The 23,516-nt window shown below is 37.1% G+C and overlaps 1 protein-coding gene across 56 annotated transcripts in view, besides 1 other annotated feature; it reads left to right on the top strand.

Moving 5' to 3' along the window:
• The window catches only part of LMO7 (LIM domain 7), a 239,437-nt gene that overhangs the window by 198,395 nt on the left and 17,526 nt on the right, over positions 1–23,516 (top strand). For 17 of the 56 annotated variants that reach the window (NM_005358.5, NM_001306080.2, XM_047430311.1 and 14 more), the window contains 12 exons: positions 565–707; positions 2,349–2,781; positions 4,737–5,045; positions 14,223–14,337; positions 15,398–15,559; positions 16,405–16,511; positions 17,569–17,629; positions 19,312–19,368; positions 21,257–21,282; positions 21,563–21,667; positions 22,281–22,373; positions 22,800–23,155. In NM_005358.5, coding sequence (NP_005349.3) covers positions 565–707; positions 2,349–2,781; positions 4,737–5,045; positions 14,223–14,337; positions 15,398–15,559; positions 16,405–16,511; positions 17,569–17,629; positions 19,312–19,368; positions 21,257–21,282; positions 21,563–21,667; positions 22,281–22,373; positions 22,800–23,155 — 1,967 coding nt within the window. Of the gene's footprint in view, positions 1–564; positions 708–2,348; positions 2,782–4,736; positions 5,046–14,222; positions 14,338–15,397; positions 15,560–16,323; positions 16,512–17,568; positions 17,630–19,311; positions 19,369–19,518; positions 19,561–21,256; positions 21,283–21,562; positions 21,668–22,280; positions 22,374–22,799; positions 23,156–23,516 lie in introns of all 56 variants that reach the window. The other 39 variants (XM_047430323.1, XM_047430329.1, XM_047430352.1 and 36 more) reach the window with 6 other exon arrangements.
• Positions 6,264–6,765: an enhancer, noted in NCBI's record as "NANOG hESC enhancer chr13:76399228-76399729 (GRCh37/hg19 assembly coordinates)". NCBI's record gives its function as "activates a minimal SCP1, AML or CMV promoter by ChIP-STARR-seq in primed H9 embryonic stem cells {active_cell/tissue: H9 hESC(primed)}" and the evidence as "EXISTENCE:reporter gene assay evidence [ECO:0000049][PMID:30033119]".

The raw sequence follows: 23,516 nt of genomic DNA on the forward strand, positions 1-23,516 counted from the left end.
TTTGTTTATATGTCTGTCTCTCCCCTGTAGACTGAGAGTTTCTTGAGGGGAACAGTGCCCTATGCATGTGTGTATTAATAGTTCCTACACTTGGGCCTGCCTCAAAGTAGGGATTGAACTCTGTTTGTGAAATGAAAGAGACTATGCATCTGCGCGTAACCATCACAATCGTGTTTCTGTTTTGGCCTTACCAGTGAAACATGTTTCGCAGAACAGCCAGGTTTTTGGAGTGAGATGAAAACGAACTGGAAACAGTTCCTGATCTATCTAACTGTCACCTAATTACAAGCATTTAGCATTCTTTATGAAGTGTGCAATGAGGCAGATACTTTCTGGGAAAACAAAAATGGGGTCTATCTTATTAGGTCAGGTTTTTGAGACAGACACATGAGATAAAGGCTTGGTACAGAAACGCTGGCTATAAAAAGCAAAATTAGGGCACCTTGGCATCCAGTTGGAGTGAATAGTTTCAGTGATGTAATAAGATACTCTGGCACATTCTGTCTGCTAGAAAGGGTGTATAGAAATTCAGGTGTGCCCCTGCTGATGTGATTTTTCTGTCAGGACCTTGCAAAATGGAAAGATCGTCGAAAAAGTTACACTTCAGATCTGCAGAAGAAAAAAGAAGAGAGAGAAGAAATTGAAAAGCAGGCACTTGAGAAGTCTAAGAGAAGCTCTAAGACGTTTAAGGAAATGCTGCAGGACAGGTAATAATGCTGAATGCACCTCGGTTGTAACAGGGTTGGAGATGCCAGTGTTATAAATAGATATTTTATGTAAGTGTAGTGTGACATAGGTGTCCACCAATATTCAACTTTAGTCAAATATGCAAAGAAACGTTTAAGATTTTGGTCTGCGGTGAAAAAACAAAGCATTGTTGAAATAGTGACTTAGAGTAATAGTAACAAAATAAATGAGGACTTAAAATAGGTGTTCATTATTTCTTCTTACATTGTGCATTCACATGCAGAATTGGATGGTGTTGGCTGTGTCTGATGCAGGAAATACACTGCTTTTTACTCTTAAGTGAATTAAGGAATGAGATGGTCCAATAAAATCAGCTCACTCTTTTAACTAAATTGTGTAAAATATAACGAAGTTCTTTTTCATGTTTAATGGTGCAATTCATTATATTTTAAAGAAAGTTTTTATGAACATAAATGTGTGTGTTTTACTTACTCTTTGCATTGCATCTTAACAGTATAAAGGTCAAATTTAAACTTTAATGTAAAGCATTCATTACTGTGTGAAACATCAGGATATTTACAGATCAAGGAGAAGGAAAATACGCTTTTAGAATAATGTCCAAAAGGAAATATGCTGTCAGGTGAAATGAAACAAAGCCACTTTCTGCCCTAAAAGCCAAAGATAAGCAGTTTCATTCACTTAAATGCAATTCAGTTATTTTGGGAGGTAGGTATTCCTTTCTAGATGTGAGAGATGAGGGTGTTTTATGAACCTTTCTATAAATATGAATGGTGACTTTTAATCCCTGATAAATGTTCATGCAAGTTCTGTCAAGCTATGTGAAATCATACACCAGTTTGATCTCCACAAAAGCCTGAGTCTTTTGTAATCTTTTATTTTTACTAAATTACTGTAAATTTTTGCAGGAAGAAAATCCTCACAAGACTGTCAATTAATCCACGACTTTGGAAGGTTCAAATTGGTTGTCAATCATGATATTTATAGTGTTTTAATTTTAAAAGTTATAAGCTTGTGGATAAAATTTTGTGAATAATCCTTTATTAAAATTTCCTTGTTTCATTAAAATCTCTTTACAATTAATAATATCCCAGTGAAGTATTTGAGAACCATTTTAATTAAAGAAGTCAAGTTATTATTCTTTCTTAGTTGGGACATTAAAGATAATTTTATACATCTTGCTGGGCATGGTGGCTCATGCCTGTAATCCCAGCACTTTGGGAGGCCAAGGTGGGCAGATCACAAGGTCAGGAGTTCGAGATCAGCTTGGCCAATATGTTGAAACCTCATCTCTACTAAAAATTAAAAGAAAAATTAGCTGGGTGTGGTGGCGCATGCCCGTAATCCCAGCTACTCGGGAGGCTGAGTCAGGAGAATTGCTTGAATGCGGGAGGCGGAGGTTGCAGGTGAGCTGAGATCGTGCCACTGCACTCCAGCCTGGACGACAGAGCGAGATTCGGTCTCAAAAAAAAAAAAAAAAAGATAATTGTATACATCTTTATGCTCTGTAAGTGTTGTATTGATTCTTGTGTGAAGTTAGCATCATTTTATTCCCAGTCCGTTTCATGCGTTGATTACTCTCTCACCACCTCTGTGTGTCAAATGTGTGTCTTTGTGGTGATGGTGCATTTCTCTCCGCTAAGGGAATCCCAAAATCAAAAGTCTACAGTTCCGTCAAGAAGGAGAATGTATTCTTTTGATGATGTGCTGGAGGAAGGAAAGCGACCCCCTACAATGACTGTGTCAGAAGCAAGTTACCAGAGTGAGAGAGTAGAAGAGAAGGGAGCAACTTATCCTTCAGAAATTCCCAAAGAAGATTCTACCACTTTTGCAAAAAGAGAGGACCGTGTAACAACTGAAATTCAGCTTCCTTCTCAAAGTCCTGTGGAAGAACAAAGCCCAGCCTCTTTGTCTTCTCTGCGTTCACGGAGCACACAAATGGAATCAACTCGTGTTTCAGCTTCTCTCCCCAGAAGTTACCGGAAAACTGATACAGTCAGGTTAACATCTGTGGTCACACCAAGACCCTTTGGCTCTCAGACAAGGGGAATCTCATCACTCCCCAGATCTTACACGGTAAAAAATGTTCTCGGTTCATTTAGTCTGTTCTGAAGAGCAAAATGTTGGTGAACTTGTGCAGAGGTTGGGGTTACATCAACTTGATGTGTAAACTGTACATAACATATATAAGGACATTTTATTTTATGCCAGTTTAGATGCAATGGAAACTTAATGCTTAAGATATATCAATGATACAGAATTTATTAAACTTTAAATTCTGTGAAAGTAGGGCTGATACATTTTAAAGAATGAATAAGATATATTCTAAGGCAGAGTATTATTTTATAATGTCTTTTTTTTAGATGTACCTTTTGTAAAGTTTTAGGTTGAAAAATATGAAGTTGTCAGTATGATTGTTCTTCTTGACCTATAAAACAGCAATTCATATGGTTTAGCCTAGAGATTTTCAGGTGCTTATGTACACATTTCTGCTTTTTTCAGATTTCTCACTTTATCAGTTTGAATGTAATTATTAGAATATATCTTACGTTTATATATATGTGTTTCTACTAGTGTCAGGATTTTGAAGGGGTTAGAATATTGCAGCATTTTTTCTGAGAATGAAGTGGTACCATATCCGACAATGAGTGTGTTAATCTGAATTATGTGAAAGGAAGCAACACAGTCCTAAGATTAATGTTCAAATTCTTTTTAGCTCTGCTAATGTACAATCCTAAACTCTAAAAGGGTATAAAAAATTGGATATTTGGGGTGAGAGAAGCTTACCTAAGCTAATTGGGAAACTCCTGATCATTATATAAAGGAAAATGTAGACATATTTGACATTATAAGAATTTCATGGCAGACCCCCTTAATGTAGTCAAAAGACAATATATAGACTCAGAAAAATATTATCAAAATGCATTTTAGGGTTAATATCTCTAAGACAGAAAATGTTTCTACAAATTGGTAAGCAAATACACTAGCAAAATGAATATAGAAAAGTAGTGGCCAATTCAAGGGAGAGGGGATTCAAATGTCTGGTAACAAAGCACAAAGAAGTATGTTCAGCTTCCCTGGAGCAAGAATGAGGCATATAACTTTTTACCCATCAGAGTGAAATAGACTTAAAAACATCGAAAATATCTAGTGTTGGCAAGGATGCTGAGAAACAGATGTTCCTCATACATTACTTCGGCAGTGTGTTGCTACAATTATTTTTAGAAACTATATATATATATATATATATATATATATATATAGTTTCTAAAAATTATATATATATAATAAAATATATATATATATATATAAAACTTTTGCTCCAGCAAGCCTACTTTTGGAAATCTGTGCTATAAAAATAAAAGTTCCAATTATAAAGAGTTATAGATATTTGTTGCAGTAGTTTTGGAAGTGACAGAACATTTCAAACAACTTTAAATGCACATCAAATGAATAAATTGTTGATGTCCATACTATGGAACATTCAGCAAGTAAAGGGACTGGTTTAGAGTTCTATCTGTTGACCTGGAGTGATCAATAGATAGAACACCAAGACCTTTTGGCTCTCAGTTAAGGGGAATCTCATCACTCCCCAGATCTTACATGGTAAAACATGTTCTCAGTTCATTTAGTCTGTTCTGAAAAGCAAAATGTTGGTGAACTTGTTTAGAGGTTAGAGTTACACCATCTTGATATGTAAACTGTACATAACACATGTATATATGGCAATTTCATTTTACGCCAGTTTAGATTCAGTGGAAATTTAATGCTTAAGATGTTTGCTTGGAGTAAACAAGCAAAGCAAATTTCGGAAGTTTGTATGTGATATGAATGCTTTTGCTAAAACAATTTTCCCTCACTACGTGTTTATCTGTTGGTGTGAAAGAACTCAGCCCAAGCTTTTAGCAATAGTTATGTTACTGTGGGAGGTATGTTATTTTAGTTTTAAAATATTAATTTAATAAACAACTTTTAAAAACAGAAATAAAGGTAACAGAATATCAAGTTTAAAATGATGTTTTCTTATTTAGATGGATGATGCTTGGAAGTATAATGGAGATGTTGAAGACATTAAGAGAACTCCAAACAATGTGGTCAGCACCCCTGCACCAAGCCCGGACGCAAGCCAACTGGCTTCAAGCTTATCTAGCCAGAAAGAGGTAGCAGCAACAGAAGAAGATGTGACAAGGCTGCCCTCTCCTACATCCCCCTTCTCATCTCTTTCCCAAGACCAGGCTGCCACTTCTAAAGCCACATTGTCTTCCACATCTGGTCTTGATTTAATGTCTGAATCTGGAGAAGGGGAAATCTCCCCACAAAGAGAAGTCTCAAGATCCCAGGTGAGTTTGGAAAAGTTCTTTATCATCTGTGGCTCAGACACTTACACATTTAAATCTGGAAACCATGTCTCAAATGTCAAACCTCTAGGTGTTAATCTGGGCTGAAAATGTGCAAAATGATATTCTGGTTTACTTTGAACAGATCTTGGAGGAAGTAGGTCTCTTTCCACTCTGAGTGCATAGATCCAGATAACACTTGTGATATGAGTGTATGGAGACTTTGTGCACCAGTCTCCTTGGGATTTGGCTGGTGTTTTCTCTATATTCCATGTTTCAGTAGTGGTTGCCTTATACTGCTAGTGCTATAGTCCCAGGTTTCAGGTACAGCAGTCACTTTAAAGGTTTTACATGCAGATCTAGTGTATATTTGGGTGACAGAAGCCCTTTCCCAGGGAACTCAACTGGCCGCAAGGAAAAACATGATAGGTGCTGGAGTCTAGGGACATGGCATTTCTTTTTCGATAATTTTAACCTTCTAGTGACTTTTAATACTATTTTGTACTTTAGAACGTCTATAATTTTCGATGGTCCCTTGTCTCTAAATGGGACTATTGAGGCTTGGTTATAATATGACAATTGTATTCCACAACATTTGGAGTCCAAACAAAATATACCATCAGATGAAGAATGACTGGGGGCATGTGTAGTTTTTCCTACTTAAATTTCTAATAGATGACTTCTAAGAGAATGATTAGGTAATAAATGTTTTTTGTAGCCTACCTGTAAAACATACTGAAAGCATTTGGGGAACAGAAAGTGTCTCTCTCTTAGAAAGATTCTTTCTAAGCATTTTGATAGTTGTATGAACCCCTTAGCATGGAAGAGCTTTTGTGGTCCTTTGGCTTGGTTTAGTATTCCCTGTTGCCCTGCAAAACATTAAGTGTGTATTATATACATTAAGTATGTGTATATATATGACTTGTCCTAAGTTATATTAGTATTAGAGTGTGTGTGTGTATATATATTTATATATATGACTTGTCCTAAGTTATATTAATAAAATATGTGAAATAATTTGGCATTGCATATTTATTATTATTGAGTTTTTATTTGTATGGGAAAACTTAAAAAATTTAAACTTTCTTTTCTGGTTGTAAGGTACTATGTGCTTGAGAAAATTTGGAAATGCAGGAAAGTATAAATAATTTAAATTGCTGATAATTCCATCATTTAGAGATAATCACTGTTAACATCTAGGTATATTTCTTTTGTTTTTTTTTCCCATGCATATTTACATATATCTAAAAACAGTTTCTTCAGCTTGCTGAAATAATTAGTTGTAAATTATCATTACATTTTTAAGGAATTGGAAATATATAATTAACATGCTAAGTCTCAGTGGAGAAGAACAATAGCCTGTGTTATACTTGGGCAACATAAGGTACCAGTAGATGAATAATAAAAGCAGAAGCGAAGTGCCTTTTGTTTCACAGATTTGCATGTTTGCCTTTACCTTTTTCAAATAGCAAATTCAACAAAGCAGCCTGAATCATGTGCTGCACGCTGGGTGTTGGTACCTCCCTCAGGGTGGCAGCTGACTAACTGCAACTGTGGATTAAGGAAAAGAGGCTAAGTGTGGTGCGTGGTTGTGTCTCAGGTTATCGCAACTCAGAGGAGCTTCAATTAATGTGGCACTGTTTCAGATTTCCTCATTAATGGATTTATACTTCTTTGTTCCCAAACTTGAGAGGGTATTCCACCAAGAAAAATTAGGCTTGATTTGACAAGTGAAGCCATTGGAATTCTTTAATGTGGATATAATTCATGTGGTGACTTACGTATCTCTGATGCTTGGTGTGTCCTTTTCTGTGCCACTAGGGCAGTAGCTTCTATAGCATCCCCTTGCCTTTGTCTCAGAAGGAGCTTACTGACTTGAGAGAAGGATGTGAATGTGTGTGACAGCTGCTGAGCAATATGTAAAGGGCCTGTGCAACACTCCCTGAAACTCTATTCAGATGTTATAACTCTAGGTGTTCAGAGGACAGCAAAATCAAGAGTAGCATGTGGCTGATCATCTAAATGTTTCGGTAGCTTTGTGAAAGAATGTTCTTCAGGTCATTTTTCTCTTTCATACCTTGGACTTTTGCTGGCACTGTCCTTTCATCTCTTCCTCCAGACTCCCCCTTGATGTTATTCTTTTCTTTTTCTTTCTTTTTTTAAAAATTAATTAATTAATTGATTTTTTTAGATAGGGTCTTGCTCTGTTGCCCAGGCTGTAGTGCAGTGGCATGATCATGGCTCATTGCAGCCTCAACCTCCTGGACTGAAGCAATCCTCCCACCTTAGCCTCTTGAGTAGCTGGGACTGCAAGCACATGCCACCACGCCTGGCTAATTTTCGTATTTTTTTGTAGAGACGGGCTTTTGCCACATTACCCATACTGCTCTCAAACTCCTGGGCTCAAACGATCCATCCATCTTGGCCTCCAAAAGTGCTGGGATTACAGGTGTGAGCCACCACACCCAGCTGATGTTACTCTTTTCTATCCTGGCTTCCACTATGCTAATTCAGGCCCTTTTCCTATCAGTGCAAATAGTCACAGGTGTTAGTGCATGCTACACAAGACTGGCATCAGATTAACTTGCCTGATGCCAGGTTGGACTCAATAATTTCTCTGCTCTAAAGCCTCTAGTGGCACTGTGTGGTTTGCTGAATGGAGTTCGTGGCGCTCAGGGAAGCAGTGATATCTCTCACTCCCTTTGTAGCGCAGTCACAGCTGAAGTTAGTGTGCTTACTATGTGCCAACCAGGCTTCTCAGGGCAGTATCTTAGTTAATCCTCACAGCAGCCCTGTGAGGTAATCAACAATCCGAATGTGGACTATCATGATTATACCTGTTTTAGAAACATAAAAATTGAGGCATGGCATGGGCATGTTACTTGTCCAAGGCCGTGCAGGGTACCAAGTGGAGTCAGGATTTGAACCCAGGCAGTCTGACTCAAGATTTAGTATCATGTTATGCTATCATGCTATGTCCTGGGAAAGAGACACGATTCACCTGCATACCACTGCTTGCTTTTTCTTGGACACATCACGTACTTTTTGGAGCACATCACTGCTCCCCCATTTGAAGATGCTTATTTCCCACATCTCTGCCTTTTGAGGTCCAATTATTTCTCAAAAGCCCAGGAGGACCCCTTCGTTCATGAATCATGATGTCACCCCTCCCCCATTGGAATCAAACTTCTTACCCTTGAAAAGTTTCACTCACTGAACTCTTCCTTGTCCCATAGTGTTACGTGTTCCTCTTTCACTGATATTCTTTGTACATTCTTACACATAATTGACACTTAAGTTTTACGGACTTGAACTGCATTCAAGGCCTTAATTACTAGGCTGAAGTATGAACTTGATCTGGCAGGTAATTTAAAGTCCTTATTGGTGCTTTAGTGTGTGGGAATTTTAAGATTAAGGGCTGTTTTAGGAATGTAAGCACTATGGTGTTCCCTAGAGTTATTTTACGAAAGCTAAGTCTGGAAGCAGAGACTGGTTAGGAGCCTATCACAGCATTGCACTAATAAGGTGGTGTGTGCCATAAAGTAGAACAATCATAATGAAGGGAAGAACTTAATATGGTCTTATTTAAAATCTGCCGATAGGAATTTCCTTTTCATCCTCATAGCTGAGCTGGGGGTTTTGTCTCTTGCTATTCTTTTTGCACCCTTTCTTTTGTGGTTTTGCTTTTTTCTCTACCTTTCTGGACAATCTAGGCTGCCAAGCTCATTCTAGAGGTGACCCAAGGCAAGGAAGAGGGAGTGTGACTCCTGGAGTCCTTCATCCCCCCTCCGTCTGCCATGCAGATGTGGTTTTCATGATTTTCCCCAAAATTGGTCTTGCCTACAGGTTTCTGTTTTTTCTGCCCTTTCAGAGCTCTATGTTTTTAAACCCTCTACAAATCCACTTTCCAGAACCTCTGCTCCAGATTTTTTAAAGCAGTAACCCCCAAACGGGATGACACGTGTGGAAGGAAGGAAGGAAGCTTTCTGCATGTCCATTTCCTGATCTCATCCCCATGATTACTGCCCCTTGGGATATAGTAGTCAGAGCTTCCCTTATCATAGCTTCATACTGTGCATTTTGCTTGCTTCTCACCTTCACTAGGACCTGCTCTCTGTAAGGGTGGAACACAATCCTACATTTCTCACTGTCAGCGCAGTGTCTGCATCTGTACATGTTCACTGAATGCTGACCAAATTTTCTTGACTTTAGAGCTAAGTATGTGAGAATTAAATGGGATTTTCTTTAATTGATCCAGAAACTGCTTAGCCGGCACTTGTATTATGTTTAACATTTGCTTCCATTGGAAAAAGAAGGCAATTACTGGGCATCAGTCATGTGTGCCTTGACACCTTTTAAATGTTTCATTTAATTATCTCAATAACTCTGCAAAGTAGGTGTATTATCCCCGTTTTTACCAATGAAGTACTTGAGATTTGAAAGTTATGTAACTTGCCCCAGGCTGGTGAAATGCCTGCGCCACAACTGCAATTTATCTGATGTTAAAGTTTTTTGAAATATGACAGGCTCACGTTTGAGGACTGCCTTATGTATAGTTAAGAGACCACATGTTGACTTATTTGGACTTTGCTGTGTCTTTAGAATTTTAGAGCCACTGGGGACAGAAATGTCTTTTGGTCCATAAAGATAAAATCATCCTTGAAACCATTTTGAGGAAAGGTGGTATTATATGTTTATTGAAACTTACCAGAACTGAAATGTAGAGTTTGAAATCTTCCAAGTAGGGCAGTAAGGAGCTACCAGCAATTTAAAAATGGAGTGTGATATAATAGCATGTTCTATAACTAAAGTTCTGGCAACTGTGTGGACAATGAACAAAATAAGGGCTGGAGGCAAGAGAGTAACTTAGGAGGGGTAACCACAGGAGTTTAGGGGAGATCATGGCCTGAACCAAGATGATAACCCAAGGGAGGGTGGCAAAGATGGGGTGATTCAAGATGGATTATGGACTTGATAGAACTTTGTAAAATGCAAGTGTGTAGGGTGGAGAGTAGGGGTACAGGGATTGTTGTGTGGCATTCGAGTGGGGAACAGTTAGGGGAAAGAAGGAGAAAGAGGCCTCGAAGGAATCCAGTGTTTCTAACGTGGGCACCTGATGAACTATTGATGCAATTAACCAAAATATGAAAAACAAGAGGTGGAAGAACAGGTTTGGGCGGAAGATAATGAATTCAGTTTTCGAATTGTTGGACTTAGGCATCGGAGACATGGCAATGAATGAGGTTGCTCACAAAAGCATGTAGTCAGAGAGGCTGGAGACTAAGGAACAAACAACACAATGAAAAGAGAAGAGAAAAAAGAGGAACATGCTAATGAAACTGAGAAGTGGCAAGAGACATGGGAAAAAAGGCTGGAGAAAGTGAGATAATAGGTGACTTTAGAAGATTGTTTCCCAGAAAGCAAGAATAGTGGGCAGTGCCTGGAGGGATGAAGACTCAAGATGTATTTGGTAGGTAGAAGATAATCTTGGAATGGGATGAGGACAGTGGTGGGTGTATTATAGAAACACTACCTGCCACAGTGGGATGAAGGAAGGAGAGATGGATCAGGATTTAGAGAGAAAGACCAAGATTTGAGGGCTACTCACTTCATTTTCTCATTCCAGTAAGACCCAGAAAGAAAGACACTAAAGAACTATATGTACACAAATTCAAAGATTATAGATTTCCTCTGATATTCCTGATTTTACAGTCTAGATTTACTTTTAGGGTTAACTTTAACAACTAAGTAGGCTTTCCTTAACACATTTGTCTAATAGAAAAAATTCGAGGAGTGTAGCTTTTCGATTTCGTGTTTAATATTGGCCCTGTTTTTTTTTTTAAATTCTATCTATGTTGACATGAAAATCTTAATTCAACAGATTTAGCAGAAATAAGTGTTACTGTTGGGACTCCAAACCTCCTCATGTTTTTGCTTAAAAATGTAGAGTCTTGTACTTCTGTTTCATCAGTCTGACAGTTGTTGGGGCAATCTGAACTTTCAGTGGATGTGTCTGCTCAAGTTATACCTAATTTGAGGGAAATTTTTTATCTTATACGCTGAGATGATGATAGACAACTGCCTTGTCTTTTTCTGGCATGAACAACTGAAACCACTTGGATAGTTCATTATCAGTCTTCAGGAATCTAGGTTTCCCCCAACAATTTATATTCCTGTTCCATCCAGTTCAAAGATGATTCTGTCATTATTATCTTCTGAAGCTTGGATTCTTTGTAGGATACTCACTTGGCATATGTCTTGCAGAGAAAAATAAGGAAGTTGAAATCCTTCCTGAAATCATTGATGAACAATTTATACTTGAATGTAATTATAGATATGTTCACTTGCAAGAAGTTTCAGGAATAATTTACTGTAAGAACCTGGGATTGGACAGAGATGCCTCAAGACTGCCATAAGGGGAAGGCCCCACAAGTGGGGCTCTGGAACTCTTACTTTGAAACCACAACCACCCACTTTAATCCTTCTGTGTAGTGGTTTGGAAAGAGGTGGTCTGCATAAGACTTTGATTTGAAACTAGGCTACTTAAAACCAAAATTAAAAATCAGTATTTTTATGAAAGAGAAGGCTTTACCAGGCCCAGTGACATGCCTGTGGTCACCTGGTTAATGACAGATATACACCTGTAATTGCCCATGTGGTCCTCTCCTCTTTGCCTGTGTTCTGTCCCAAGGACTAACACAACACTCTGCCTGGCTGTAGCCACAGGGACACTGTCCTTCTGTTAAGCCTTTCAAAGAGGAGGAGGTTATCTGCCCTTTTATTAATATTTAAGATGTTTAAATAGTGATTTCTTTATTTCTGAGGTAAGTACAGTCCTTCATGAGATAGTATGTCCAATCTAATAGAACAGTGAGACATTTCCCTCTAGGGCTTAAGCTCATTCTCTTTGATCCTATATTTGGTAGAAAAGGATAATGTTCACTTGCCATCTCCCACAAAATATGCTTTATGTAGTTTGAGAGTATTTATTAAGACTCCATCCTGTCTTTTATTCTTCAAGCTATAAAACACAATGTTTTGAATATGTAACCCATGATTTGTCTGTTTGTCTCTCTTCCTTATATAGCAAATAGATTCTGCACTTTAATTGGCTCTAAGTCAGATTTTTTTTTTTTGTAAGAGTGGTGAAGATGACCACTTATTTTCACTGAGTCATCTCTAACTTAAGTGTATGGTGGTTTTGGCTAAGGAGTAGAACCTACCAGTAGTTTTTGCTATTCTTAGCAGAGTTTTATTATATTCTTCAGATTGGCATTCATCAGGTGATTATTAACGAGTGTTATGACTACATCTGCATTTCCACATTTAAACTGCTTTACAAAGGGCTTTCTGCTGAAAGCTAAAAATCCCATACCCACTGAGATATAAACAATTATTTTTTGAGAGCGAGAATCATCCCTAATTTACCTTTGTTTCCCAAAGTGCTAAGTATTGTATTATTTTATACAGAGTAAACAATAAATGTATGTCAAACAATTGAATGAGTGAAAGTCATAATACTTCTGCCTGTCCATATAGAGTAGTAAATTCTTGATCCTTTATTTAGTGCCTTCCTTCAAATTCTTGTGTACTCAGTCCATTTAATGTTGCTATAACAGAATACCTGAAACTGAATAATTTATAAAGAAAAGAGGAGGTTTATTTGGCTCATGGTTCTGGTGGCTGGAAAGTCCAAGAGCATGGCACCAACATCTGCTTGGCTTCAGGTGAGCACCATGTGCTGTGTCACAACATGGTGGAAAAGCAGATAGGCAAATGTTGTGTGCAGAGACCCAAAACAAGGCAACCTCACTTTATAACAACCTGCTCTTGTGGTAACTAATTCAGTCCTGCTAGAGTGAGAACTTACTCCCATGAGACTGCATTAATCCCTTCATGAGGGCAGATCCTCATGACCCAAACACCTGTTAAAGGTAACACTTCCCAGCACTACCACATTGGCAATTAAATTTTAACATGAGTTTTGGTGGCGACAAATCACATCCACACCATAGCAAGTACTATCCTAGTTTTTCTCAGAATATTGCTACTTGTTTTAAACCTGTTTTATGGGTAGAAAAACTTAGGCAGAAAGCTTTATGAAGTGCCCAATTAGTTCCTGGGTTAGGTTTAACTGCCAAGTTAAAATGGAGATTTGGTAGGTCTTTTTCTGGAAAGTAAAACAGGTTTAGGAAGAATTTTAACAGGTAAGTCTAAGTTTTTTGTGATTAGGAAACAGAGCTGAAACACTGGTCTCATAAATTCATATTAAAATCTATCTGTTGCTTACTCAAAACAAAATATGTAAATTACAAAAGAAATTAAGGTTTGCACAGACGTAGTATACTGTAAAACTCGAAACATTTGGTTTAGAAAATAACTTAAGTTCCATGAAATTTGGAATTTGTTGTGTAGTACAGTGATAGCTATGAGAATAATTATACCTTTTGTCCAAGAGGCTATTGTTTTGGGGCTTATGAGCTGATGTCATTTTGAAGAAGTCATGGACTGTAGGTCAGGATGTGTCAATAGGGACCCTCTTGGTATCTTAAGGAGTAATTCCTTACAGGTGACATAGTTCTGCATTTTGCAGCATGTAGAGCAGCTATGCCTTTAACGCTAAATCTTCATGTGGCATTTGGGCAAGCAAAAATGCCTTGCCAAACTTCACATGCCCACTAGGGAGTGGTACCAGTCCTAGATGGATGCCACTGGAGGCTAAATTATGTGTCTGTGAACCACTTGAAGTTATTCAGATCAATATGCCAAGTATTGGGAGTAGGTGTTTAAAAGTATGGTGGTCCTTTTTAAATAAATGATTTAAATCACTGTACTTTATTCCTGGGCAGTGAATAAATGGCCTGGCCTATAAGTTAGACCCAATTGTACAGTGGGCAGAAACCTAAGCTTATCCACGGCCAACTGAATTAAAGTATTAATATGAAGAAAAACATGTAATGACAATAAGATTTCCCTTAGTTTAGCAGAAAAATAATAAACTTGGTGCTATTTATATAAATGAAAGTTTTACCAACCTAAGGAAGAAAGAATGAAGCTTCTAGTTTATCATGAAATGATTCAAGTCTACCTAGCGTGCAGTCTCCCTCCTTTCATGGATAGACTTTCCTCCATGTGGGTGCCAGGGACACCGGATACCAGCGTTTCATGTTTTGTTTTCAGGATCAGTTCAGTGATATGAGAATCAGCATAAACCAGACGCCTGGGAAGAGTCTTGACTTTGGGTTTACAATAAAATGGGATATTCCTGGGATCTTCGTAGCATCAGTTGAAGCAGGTAAATTATGTGTTTAGCTCTACTGAATTTTCTTCTCCTTTTCTATCCTTCATTGTGGGGTTGGGGACCACAGAAATTAGTGTATTTGATATAGGAGGAGAAAACGTGAAAAATGCAACCATAAGGCCAGAAAATACATCCTCTTTCCTGAGATTATTAGTTGGGGTTACAAATTCCATATTGTTTATTCTCCTTGACTAATTACTTTTAGTTTTGAAGAGTCTTAATTTTGTGATTTTACAGATTTTATCCATTTTGGACTTTATATTTGGAAATGCTAACAAACGGCGCTTAAGTAAAGATTCAGAAAGAGCTTTCCATGATCAGCCATGCTTTGTAGTAGATATATATGTGCTATTTAATAAGTTGATTTTTTTTGAGTGTTCTAATATACCTATTGCCCATGAAGTTTTCAGGGTGCTTCAGGACTTCTGCAAAAGGATTACCCCTCCCCTGTCCAGGTCTATACCATGTCAAGCCCAGGAACTCTTTGCAAAACATTACAAGGCCTAAAATTAAAAACAGGAGTTCCTTTATTTTTACTTTTATTTTTTAGTTTTTTTTACATATTTTAGCTATATAAAATTGCATGTTAACACCAGTTAGTTCTTTTACATCTTAAGATTGCCTTAATTAGATAATGGTATTTTAGTTATGGAGTAATTTTAAGCAGTTTTAAATAGCTGTGTTTTCTTCTGCTTCATTCCAGAATGTATCTGAATTGGAAGCTCAATTAAAATGCAGTATGTTTCATATTTCAAATTTAAGAGTAACTTAAATTTTTTTGTCCTTGGGAGGTTAATAAAGAAGTCTTATTGAATAGATGAGTTTATCATTTTTCCTTTAATGAAGATGCATTCTATAGAACTTCAAAAAACACCTCTAATGCTTTGTATGTTGTACTCAGATATTTGGTATTAAAAAAAATAGTGACCTCCACCTGAAAAAGAGAGAAATGGTTAATTGAAATTCAGAGTCATTTTTCTTAAGTTCAAAGCAGCAACTAATAGAACATGTGGGATTTTTTTCCCCAATTGGTTAATTTATTTTGCATTTTTAGGTAGCCCAGCAGAATTTTCTCAGCTACAAGTAGATGATGAAATTATTGCTATTAACAACACCAAGTTTTCATATAACGATTCAAAAGAGTGGGAGGAAGCCATGGCTAAGGCTCAAGAAACTGGACACCTAGTGATGGATGTGAGGCGCTATGGAAAGGCTGGTGAGTTTGTGTTACCACCATGTCTGGCATTTGAAACTGGGACCTGGCCGTTGGCAAGTGGTTCTAACAATTTGCTTCAATAACTTTTTATTTTTTCACTTATGTTTTGGCATTAAAGGTTTTTGTAGTTACGTCATGACAAATCTTGAACCCTACCCCTTTGAATACTCTGTCTGGATTTTTCACTAGCAAATTTACTGAATTCTACATTATTTATTGACTGATTCATGTACTGGTTTGACTGAATGCAAATACCAACTGAAGACAAATGTATCTGCATCCAGGAGTTATTTATAATAATATTGAGTATTAAGAATTATGCTATGATTTAACTTTATCTGCAGCATCATAACCATATTGGTATAAGAGAGAGAGCTTGGTAGGTCATATTTCTATTTATTCTCAAAGAACTTTCAATGTGCATTCCATTAATGTGTTTCTTAATTATAGAGGCTAGATGGGAAAAGGCATTAAGCCTCTGCAGACCTACCAACTTATGATATCAAAATAAAATATCTATCCTGGTTTATGGGAAAGATTCAGCAAATTTGCTAGTTTTTTCATTACTAACATGATTTAACCCTTGTGTTTTGGGAAGGTGGTCTGTTGGTAAAAAGCCCTAAACTCTTGATTTATTTCACACGCTGCCTGATTTGTTTGTCTTGTATATGTAGATTTTTTTTTATATATATGTGCATTCAATGACTTTATTCTTTCCACTTCAACATCTATGTGTACTCATTTGATCTTCATGTGCCAATCAGACTGGGGCAAAGACCAACCTTCCCTGCCATTTATACGGCATAAAACCCTCAATCTCACCAGTATGGCTACCAAAATTATAGGTTCACCTGAAACAAAGTGGATTGATGCAACTTCTGGAATTTACAACTCAGAAAAATCTTCAAATCTATCTGTAACAACTGATTTCTCCGAAAGCCTTCAGAGTTCTGTGAGTATTTGGAGAAGTAGGAAGTACTGGTGTGGAGTAAAGCAGCTGTTAGAATTGTGTATGGAAGAAAATAATTTCTTTTGTTTGTACAATTTTGATGCTAACTTTAAAATGTAAATGATTGAATAATGTAAATTATAGTAAAGAGATACAGTAAAATATATTTTTGAAAATCATAGGCATTCCTCATAGAGTAGTTGTGAGTTATATAATGGTAAAATCCAAAGACCCCATAATGTTGTTTTGCAGGTGTTTTCCACCAATCTTTCATCATTAGACCCACCTCTCAGATCTTTGTGAGCATGAAGTAGCAATTACATAAAATTATAAACTATAACTTCTTTATGCGTTCCTTAGTCTTTACTGGCAAATAAAGTTAATAGTTGGGTGTAATGTAAAACTTCATGAAGCATTTTTAGTTTTTGTGTAGGTGAATTTGATGGGTAGACTTACATATGTGGTTAAGAGATAATCAGTTTCATTAATTTGATCAAAAATATAATGTAGAAATTTTTCTAAGTATCAAAGCAATACTTTTTCCTGTAGACTTTGAAGTCATGTGGTTTCTATTTATGATACAAATTGTTCATTTAAATTAATAATTAAATTTAAATTTCAACTAAATATTATGCACTTATACTCACTCCTTAGATTGTGTTATCATCTCAAGGTATAACTCTTTTATTTAATAAGGAGCTCTTACTATATTGTATAAGAAATGTTTAAGTGTTTGAGAATCCTATATGACTGTTTTGTGTACTCATAAATATAAGCCAAATGGACTAATGATTATCTAGCTGATTTTATTTCTTGGAAAATTAATGATCGATTAAACTTAAACTCATCCATGCCTGCAGCTGGTCATTAATTCTGCCACAAATATTGAAGTATAATGAAAAAACTTAAGTTTCTACTACATGTAAAAGGCTGTAAGGAATGCATCAATATCCCGAGAAACTCATCTTGTTAAAATATATATTTCACTAATGCGAAATGCATTATTTAAGGCCAAAGTCCAACTGGAGAGAATATTAACTAGCATTTTTACCCTTTCCAGAATATTGAATCCAAAGAAATCAATGGAATTCATGATGAAAGCAATGCTTTTGAATCAAAAGGTAAATATCACCTTTATAACTTACATTTATAATACAGGAAAAGACATAGCACTCAAGTTCTGCTGTTATAAAAATTAATATCTGTGAGTGAAAGAAAAAGTGATCCACTGCAAGTTGAAACTAAAAGGTTAACACGCAGATCCAATTGCAGCCAGGTGGAAGGGCGTTCAGTTCCAGTGCTGAATAGTTCAGGCACTGCAAACAAAGCTTTGGCAGCATGTTCCGGAGCTTTGAGTGCCTGAGTGCCTAAGTCAAATAAGAAAGACTGGTTCTTCCTGAGGCCGTCAGCTTTCTTGCTAGGGTATGCTGGCAATGGGAATCTTAGTTAAGCATGAAACTATGAATGAAGTTTCCTTTCTTCTTTATTGTGAAAGGGACAAGCTTGGAGGCAGTTAGCTGTAAGAGGGAAATGCCAGTGGCAATAAAGTCATTAGCAGATGTACCCATTTGTAATGACAAAGAAGGCAAAATATCTAGGGAAATTTTGGAGTTATCTCCATCTTTCTTCTTCTGCCCATCCAGAAATAATTTAGCTAGCATACATCGTGTGCTATTCCTTGGGCACAGAAAAATAAGAATAGATCCGGTCATGTAGGCAGGGGAAGAAACCCAAAGAAGACGAGACCTCTTCTGCCATGAACCTAGACTGCCAAGAATGGGACTGGGTTTTCACAGTGCTTTGGTGGCTTTAAATCTACATTCGATAGTTTATAATACATTTTCTTAAAGCCAACCTAAATATATAAATTTCCCTTTCCTCATCGATTATTTAATTTTGTATTTCATTTCTGATAGACAGAAGTGACTATATTTTGTTTTCAGTTGCATTCTTTATCAAAGGAGTTTTTAAAGCAAACTTTGCTTAGTTTTCTCTGTGATGTTACATGTAAAGCACCGGGTCCTATTCCGCAGTGACTCAGGTGAGATAGGTGATCAGACATCTAGCTCTATGACGACTAGGGGACTATACGTGGGCCCTGTCATTGGAAGGTTTTGTTTAGATAAGTAAGCACTAACTAGTATCAAGTAATAATCATAGGTACATTTTATGCCATAGTCTTGTGACAGATCTATGGGAGAAGTCAGAATGTTTTTCTTTTGTTTTCTTGGTGGAACTCCATTTGCTTTACTTAATAGTAGTAGCTACCAGATCTTGAAAACTAGGTCAAAAAATTCTAGTTAGAAGGTGGTCGTAACTTTAGTATTTTGTTTTCTTTGATCTTTCTTTGGGTATCATTTTGTTTTGTTTTCTTCCCCATTACTTTTCACTTCTTATTCATAAATGTTGTGAAAACTGTTTGTTATAGACAGTTTTCCAGGTAGTAGACAAGATTATGGATTGTTTAACCTAAGCAAAAAATATTGATTTCCTTTTCCCTAAAACGGCGTGATCTAGCATGGAAGATGATACTTTGGCTTTTCATAGCTGTGAAACTATCATGCTATATGCTAAAGTTTATTAATAAAAATATTCATTCCTTCTACTAATTTGAATGTAATGTAGGCTACTAAAATTGTGTGTCCCTGTGCCTTGAAATAATCTATATCTTCTATGGCTATCAGTTTTGTGATCTTTTAAAATAATATTGCTACAGATTGGAAAGGTATATCAAGTATCGTTTAATTTACCAATGGTGAGAAATAAAAATGAATGACATAGTGTTTATTTTTTTTTCAACTAGCATCTGAATCCATTTCTTTGAAAAACTTAAAAAGGCGATCACAATTTTTTGAACAAGGTAAACCACAAAGCTAACAATTCATGCACTTTCATGGAATTGTTCTCCCTCTCCACTCTTCCTCATGGTCTGTGGTGCTGGGCACTGAGCCTCTTCAATTTGTCTGTCATTATGACCAAGCGACATAACCCATTTCCATTCTTTCCCTAGGGTCATCAGGCTTTTCTTACAGTTCATGGGTCTACCTCTGTGGTAATGGGTCTTTGTGTGTCCTTTGTATACCTCTAAACATTTTACTTTTTTTTTTTTAACTTTGTAAAAAAAAAAAAAAAAAAAAAGGGAGATGCTCTTAAACACACACTTGTTTCCACTGGGTAACAGTAAGAAATGAGGAATTTCATTTAAGCCTTACTGCTTCCTACAAATTGCATAATATTAGATTACACCAACATGCAATTGGCCAAGTTTTTAAAAACCTGACTTGTTTTTGGTTGTGGAAAACACTGTTAATAAAGAAGAGTTATTTTTGCTATGGGATGGTGGCTTTGGAGTGTTGATTTGACTGCTCTGTTGACTTTGAAGTAAATTCAAAGTAAATACATTTTGGTTGCATCTGAGAACAGGTGCGTTTTGAGATTCTCCGTGTTGGTGTAGTTGGGCAGGGCTGCCTCACAATGTGCTGTGCATGTGACATTTGCTCCCGTGTCACGTTTGCCTAATGCTCTGTCACATGAATGCCGTTCAAGCTCTGTTTTGCTACTAAGAACTTAAAAGTAATAGTCAACATTTGAGATGCAATGGTCAGAGGATATTGTGCTGTTGCCATCTAAAATGTTACTGTTTCTTACTTTTAAGACTATTAACACGTTTACAAACGTGCCTTATAACACAGTACTTATTGGGTTTGTGTATTTTGTGTTAATCACCTAATATCATTCCTTTGGATTAAGGTCTCTTTTGGACCATAAACAGAAGTATCTTACCAGCTATGCAAGTCTATTTGTGTCAGTATCCTTAGTGTTTTTGATTTATATTTTAAAATAAAATTCCTGTTTTTCTATGGCTATTTAATTGAAACAGTATGATACTCCTTCCTAACACTGGCTAAAATAAAGCAATTTCTCTTCCTTCTCTGTTCTAATTTTCTCCCATTTTTCTTCAACAGGCTATTCTAGGGAAGAGTATTTTTCTAGGTCTCAAAGCAATTTTATTTAAAAAATTGTATGTGAAGAATTTATTTGACAGCTGAGGTTTCAAGAACATTTAAAAGTACTGTATGATAGTGTATTTTCTGAAGTTTTACTTTTTAAATAATCATTGTTCTATGTAAAGGTATACTTACATAGGTCCCCTAAGAATAAAAAGAATAAGACTGTACCCATAAGTTTACATATGAAGTTTGAATACGTGTGTTTCAAGCAATAGGAGTAGAAAAAGGAAATTGTTTCTTGAACATGTTTGTTGTGGTGACTTGCTTACGAAAGTGGCTCATTAGTAAGAAGGCTTGAAAAATGTGACTTGCAGCTGTCATGTTGTGAGTAGTGGCAAGTAAAAAATTGGGATTTGGTAGATGTTGTAACATTTGAAATTCTTTTTTTTTTTTTTTTTCCTGTTAGGCCAAACTATGAGATGCTGCCCAGTTTATTAATAAAAGAACCCTGAAGCTTCTTCAGAAATATCCATTGATCCTACTCTAATACCTAGAGCTAGGGTTTATTTTGGCATCTGTATCTTCCTTTTACTAACTTTGAATTTGAAAGATGAGTAACAGATGGAACTGTTACACCTGGAGAAAAAAGGATTTACTGACTATTGTTTAAAAAAACATTGTCACTTAGTATACTGGCATAGAGACAGCTAATGATAGAAGTTTCTGAAAGGAATTATTTCATAGAAATGAAGACTTATATTGTATATTTTTCTTCCTTGCCCATGTGCTGCAACACAGGAAGCTCTGATTCGGTGGTTCCTGATGTAAGTAGCATTCATTTGTCATTTGGAATAAGGTGAACTTGGTGGGACTGAATTAGTACACCGTAGCATGCTTACCATGATTTTAGGTTGCATAAGAATTTATCAGAGAGTTATCCTTCCAAGTTGAAAAACTTATTTTAAAATTCAAAGCCAGCTCTCCCTTGGTACAGTTTAAGCAAACTGTGATATGAATAATTTATGTGTGCAAAAGTGGTTCAGTAGATGACTTAATGAAGTTATGTTGTTCTCTATTTGCATCTCTTCTCTGATAACTGGTTAGCTTCCAGTTCCAACCATCAGTGCCCCGAGTCGCTGGGTGTGGGATCAAGAGGAGGAGCGGAAGCGGCAGGAGAGGTGGCAGAAGGAGCAGGACCGCCTACTGCAGGTAGCTCTGGCTCACGTGGACGGGTAGAAACTAGGTTGGATTTCACGGCTTTTCTCCAGTCTGTCAACCAGTATTGAGAAACTAATTTTAAACGCAACAATCTCACAACTAACAAATATTTTTGCACACAGTACATTTTCCATAAAACAATTACTTTTCCATTTTGAAGATTTCCAGAGTCATCCTTTAAAAATCATTATTTATTAACCCCCATGTGTGTTTTTGTAGAGTATGAAGGGCACTCACTTAGGGGGTGTGAAGTGCACAGACTTTGTGATGACTTGGTTCCCATAAACTGTTTGCTGGGTCCATTGCAGAGTAATTCAGCCCCCGCTTACAGTTTGCTAGAGGCCTTAATGAATTAGAGCCATGGTAAAGGGTGGATGGGGGTTTAATTCTCAGTGTCTACCTTTTTACCCCAGTGCCTGCAGTTTTAATTCAATATATGCTCTTTTCTACTATAGGGACTAAAATCTGATTGGCTTATGAAAATAAATCATGGTCTTTAAAGGTTTGAGGTTGAAGGTTTAGAGATCATAAAAGTGTTAATAAAGAAGATTCCTAATGTGAAGAGTTAATCTATTGGATTAATATATGTCATATTTTCTTATAGGAAAAATATCAACGTGAGCAGGAGAAACTGAGGGAAGAGTGGCAAAGGGCCAAACAGGAGGCAGAGAGAGAGAATTCCAAGTACTTGGATGAGGTAGTGTTAGAACATGCCTGTTTAGTTTTTCTTCTCTTTACCTTGTTGGTGAGATTAGCTGAGAATCAGGAGACACTTCATTTTTCTCCACCTTTGACCATATGTTCACCTGTGTAGCTCTTTGAAAAATACAATGAGCTCTGATTTGTTAGAATTTTGCTTGGATGTTGCAGCCTTTCTCCTAGTTTTTATAGTACATCATTAACAAATTATGTTAATAGAACTTCAGTGCATCTTCCTCTTCTGAGTTACATCTCAGTCACTCATGTGTAGCTTCTTTAGTGGTAAAAACTCTTAACATGTTTTTTGAGTGGAGTCCTGGGCCAACTATAGTTAGTAGCATCTAAAACTGAATATATATGTGTCTATATGAAATTACGGAAATAAACAGATTTAGATGGATTTCTTTTTTCACTGGTCACCTAGGAACTGATGGTCCTAAGCTCAAACAGCATGTCTCTGACCACACGGGAGCCCTCTCTTGCCACCTGGGAAGCTACCTGGAGTGAAGGGTCCAAGTCTTCAGACAGAGAAGGAACCCGAGCAGGAGAAGAGGAGAGGAGACAGCCACAAGAGGAAGTTGTTCATGAGGACCAAGGAAAGAAGCCGCAGGATCAGCTTGTTATTGAGAGAGAGAGGAAATGGGAGCAACAGCTTCAGGAAGAGCAAGAGCAAAAGCGGCTTCAGGCTGAGGCTGAGGAGCAGAAGCGTCCTGCGGAGGAGCAGAAGCGCCAGGCAGAGATAGAGCGGGAAACATCAGTCAGAATATACCAGTACAGGAGGTATGTCCCCACAGCCAGAGGGTACAAAGGCTTAGCTGTATCCATTCCCCACTTCAAAGGCACCCGCTTGCTCTTCCTGTTTCCTACCACCCATTCTCCACACAAGTGAATACAAGCCACCAAAGAGAACCTTTAAATCATAAACCCTGCCATGTCATCTTGCTTCACCACCCATAACACTCCAAGTCACTTCCTGTCACATCAGAACCCCATCCAGCATCCTTGCCAAGGCCTAGAAGGCTGCCATGAGCTACATTACCTTGTAGTACCTCTACTCTTCCCCTTACTCACTCTGTTCCAGCCCCATTGGCCTCCTGTTTCTTCCTTGAAAATACCCAAGGACTTTTGTATTTTCTAGTTC

This window comes from Homo sapiens, chromosome 13 (genome assembly GCF_000001405.40).
Source record: "Homo sapiens chromosome 13, GRCh38.p14 Primary Assembly".
NCBI lineage: Eukaryota > Metazoa > Chordata > Mammalia > Primates > Hominidae > Homo > Homo sapiens.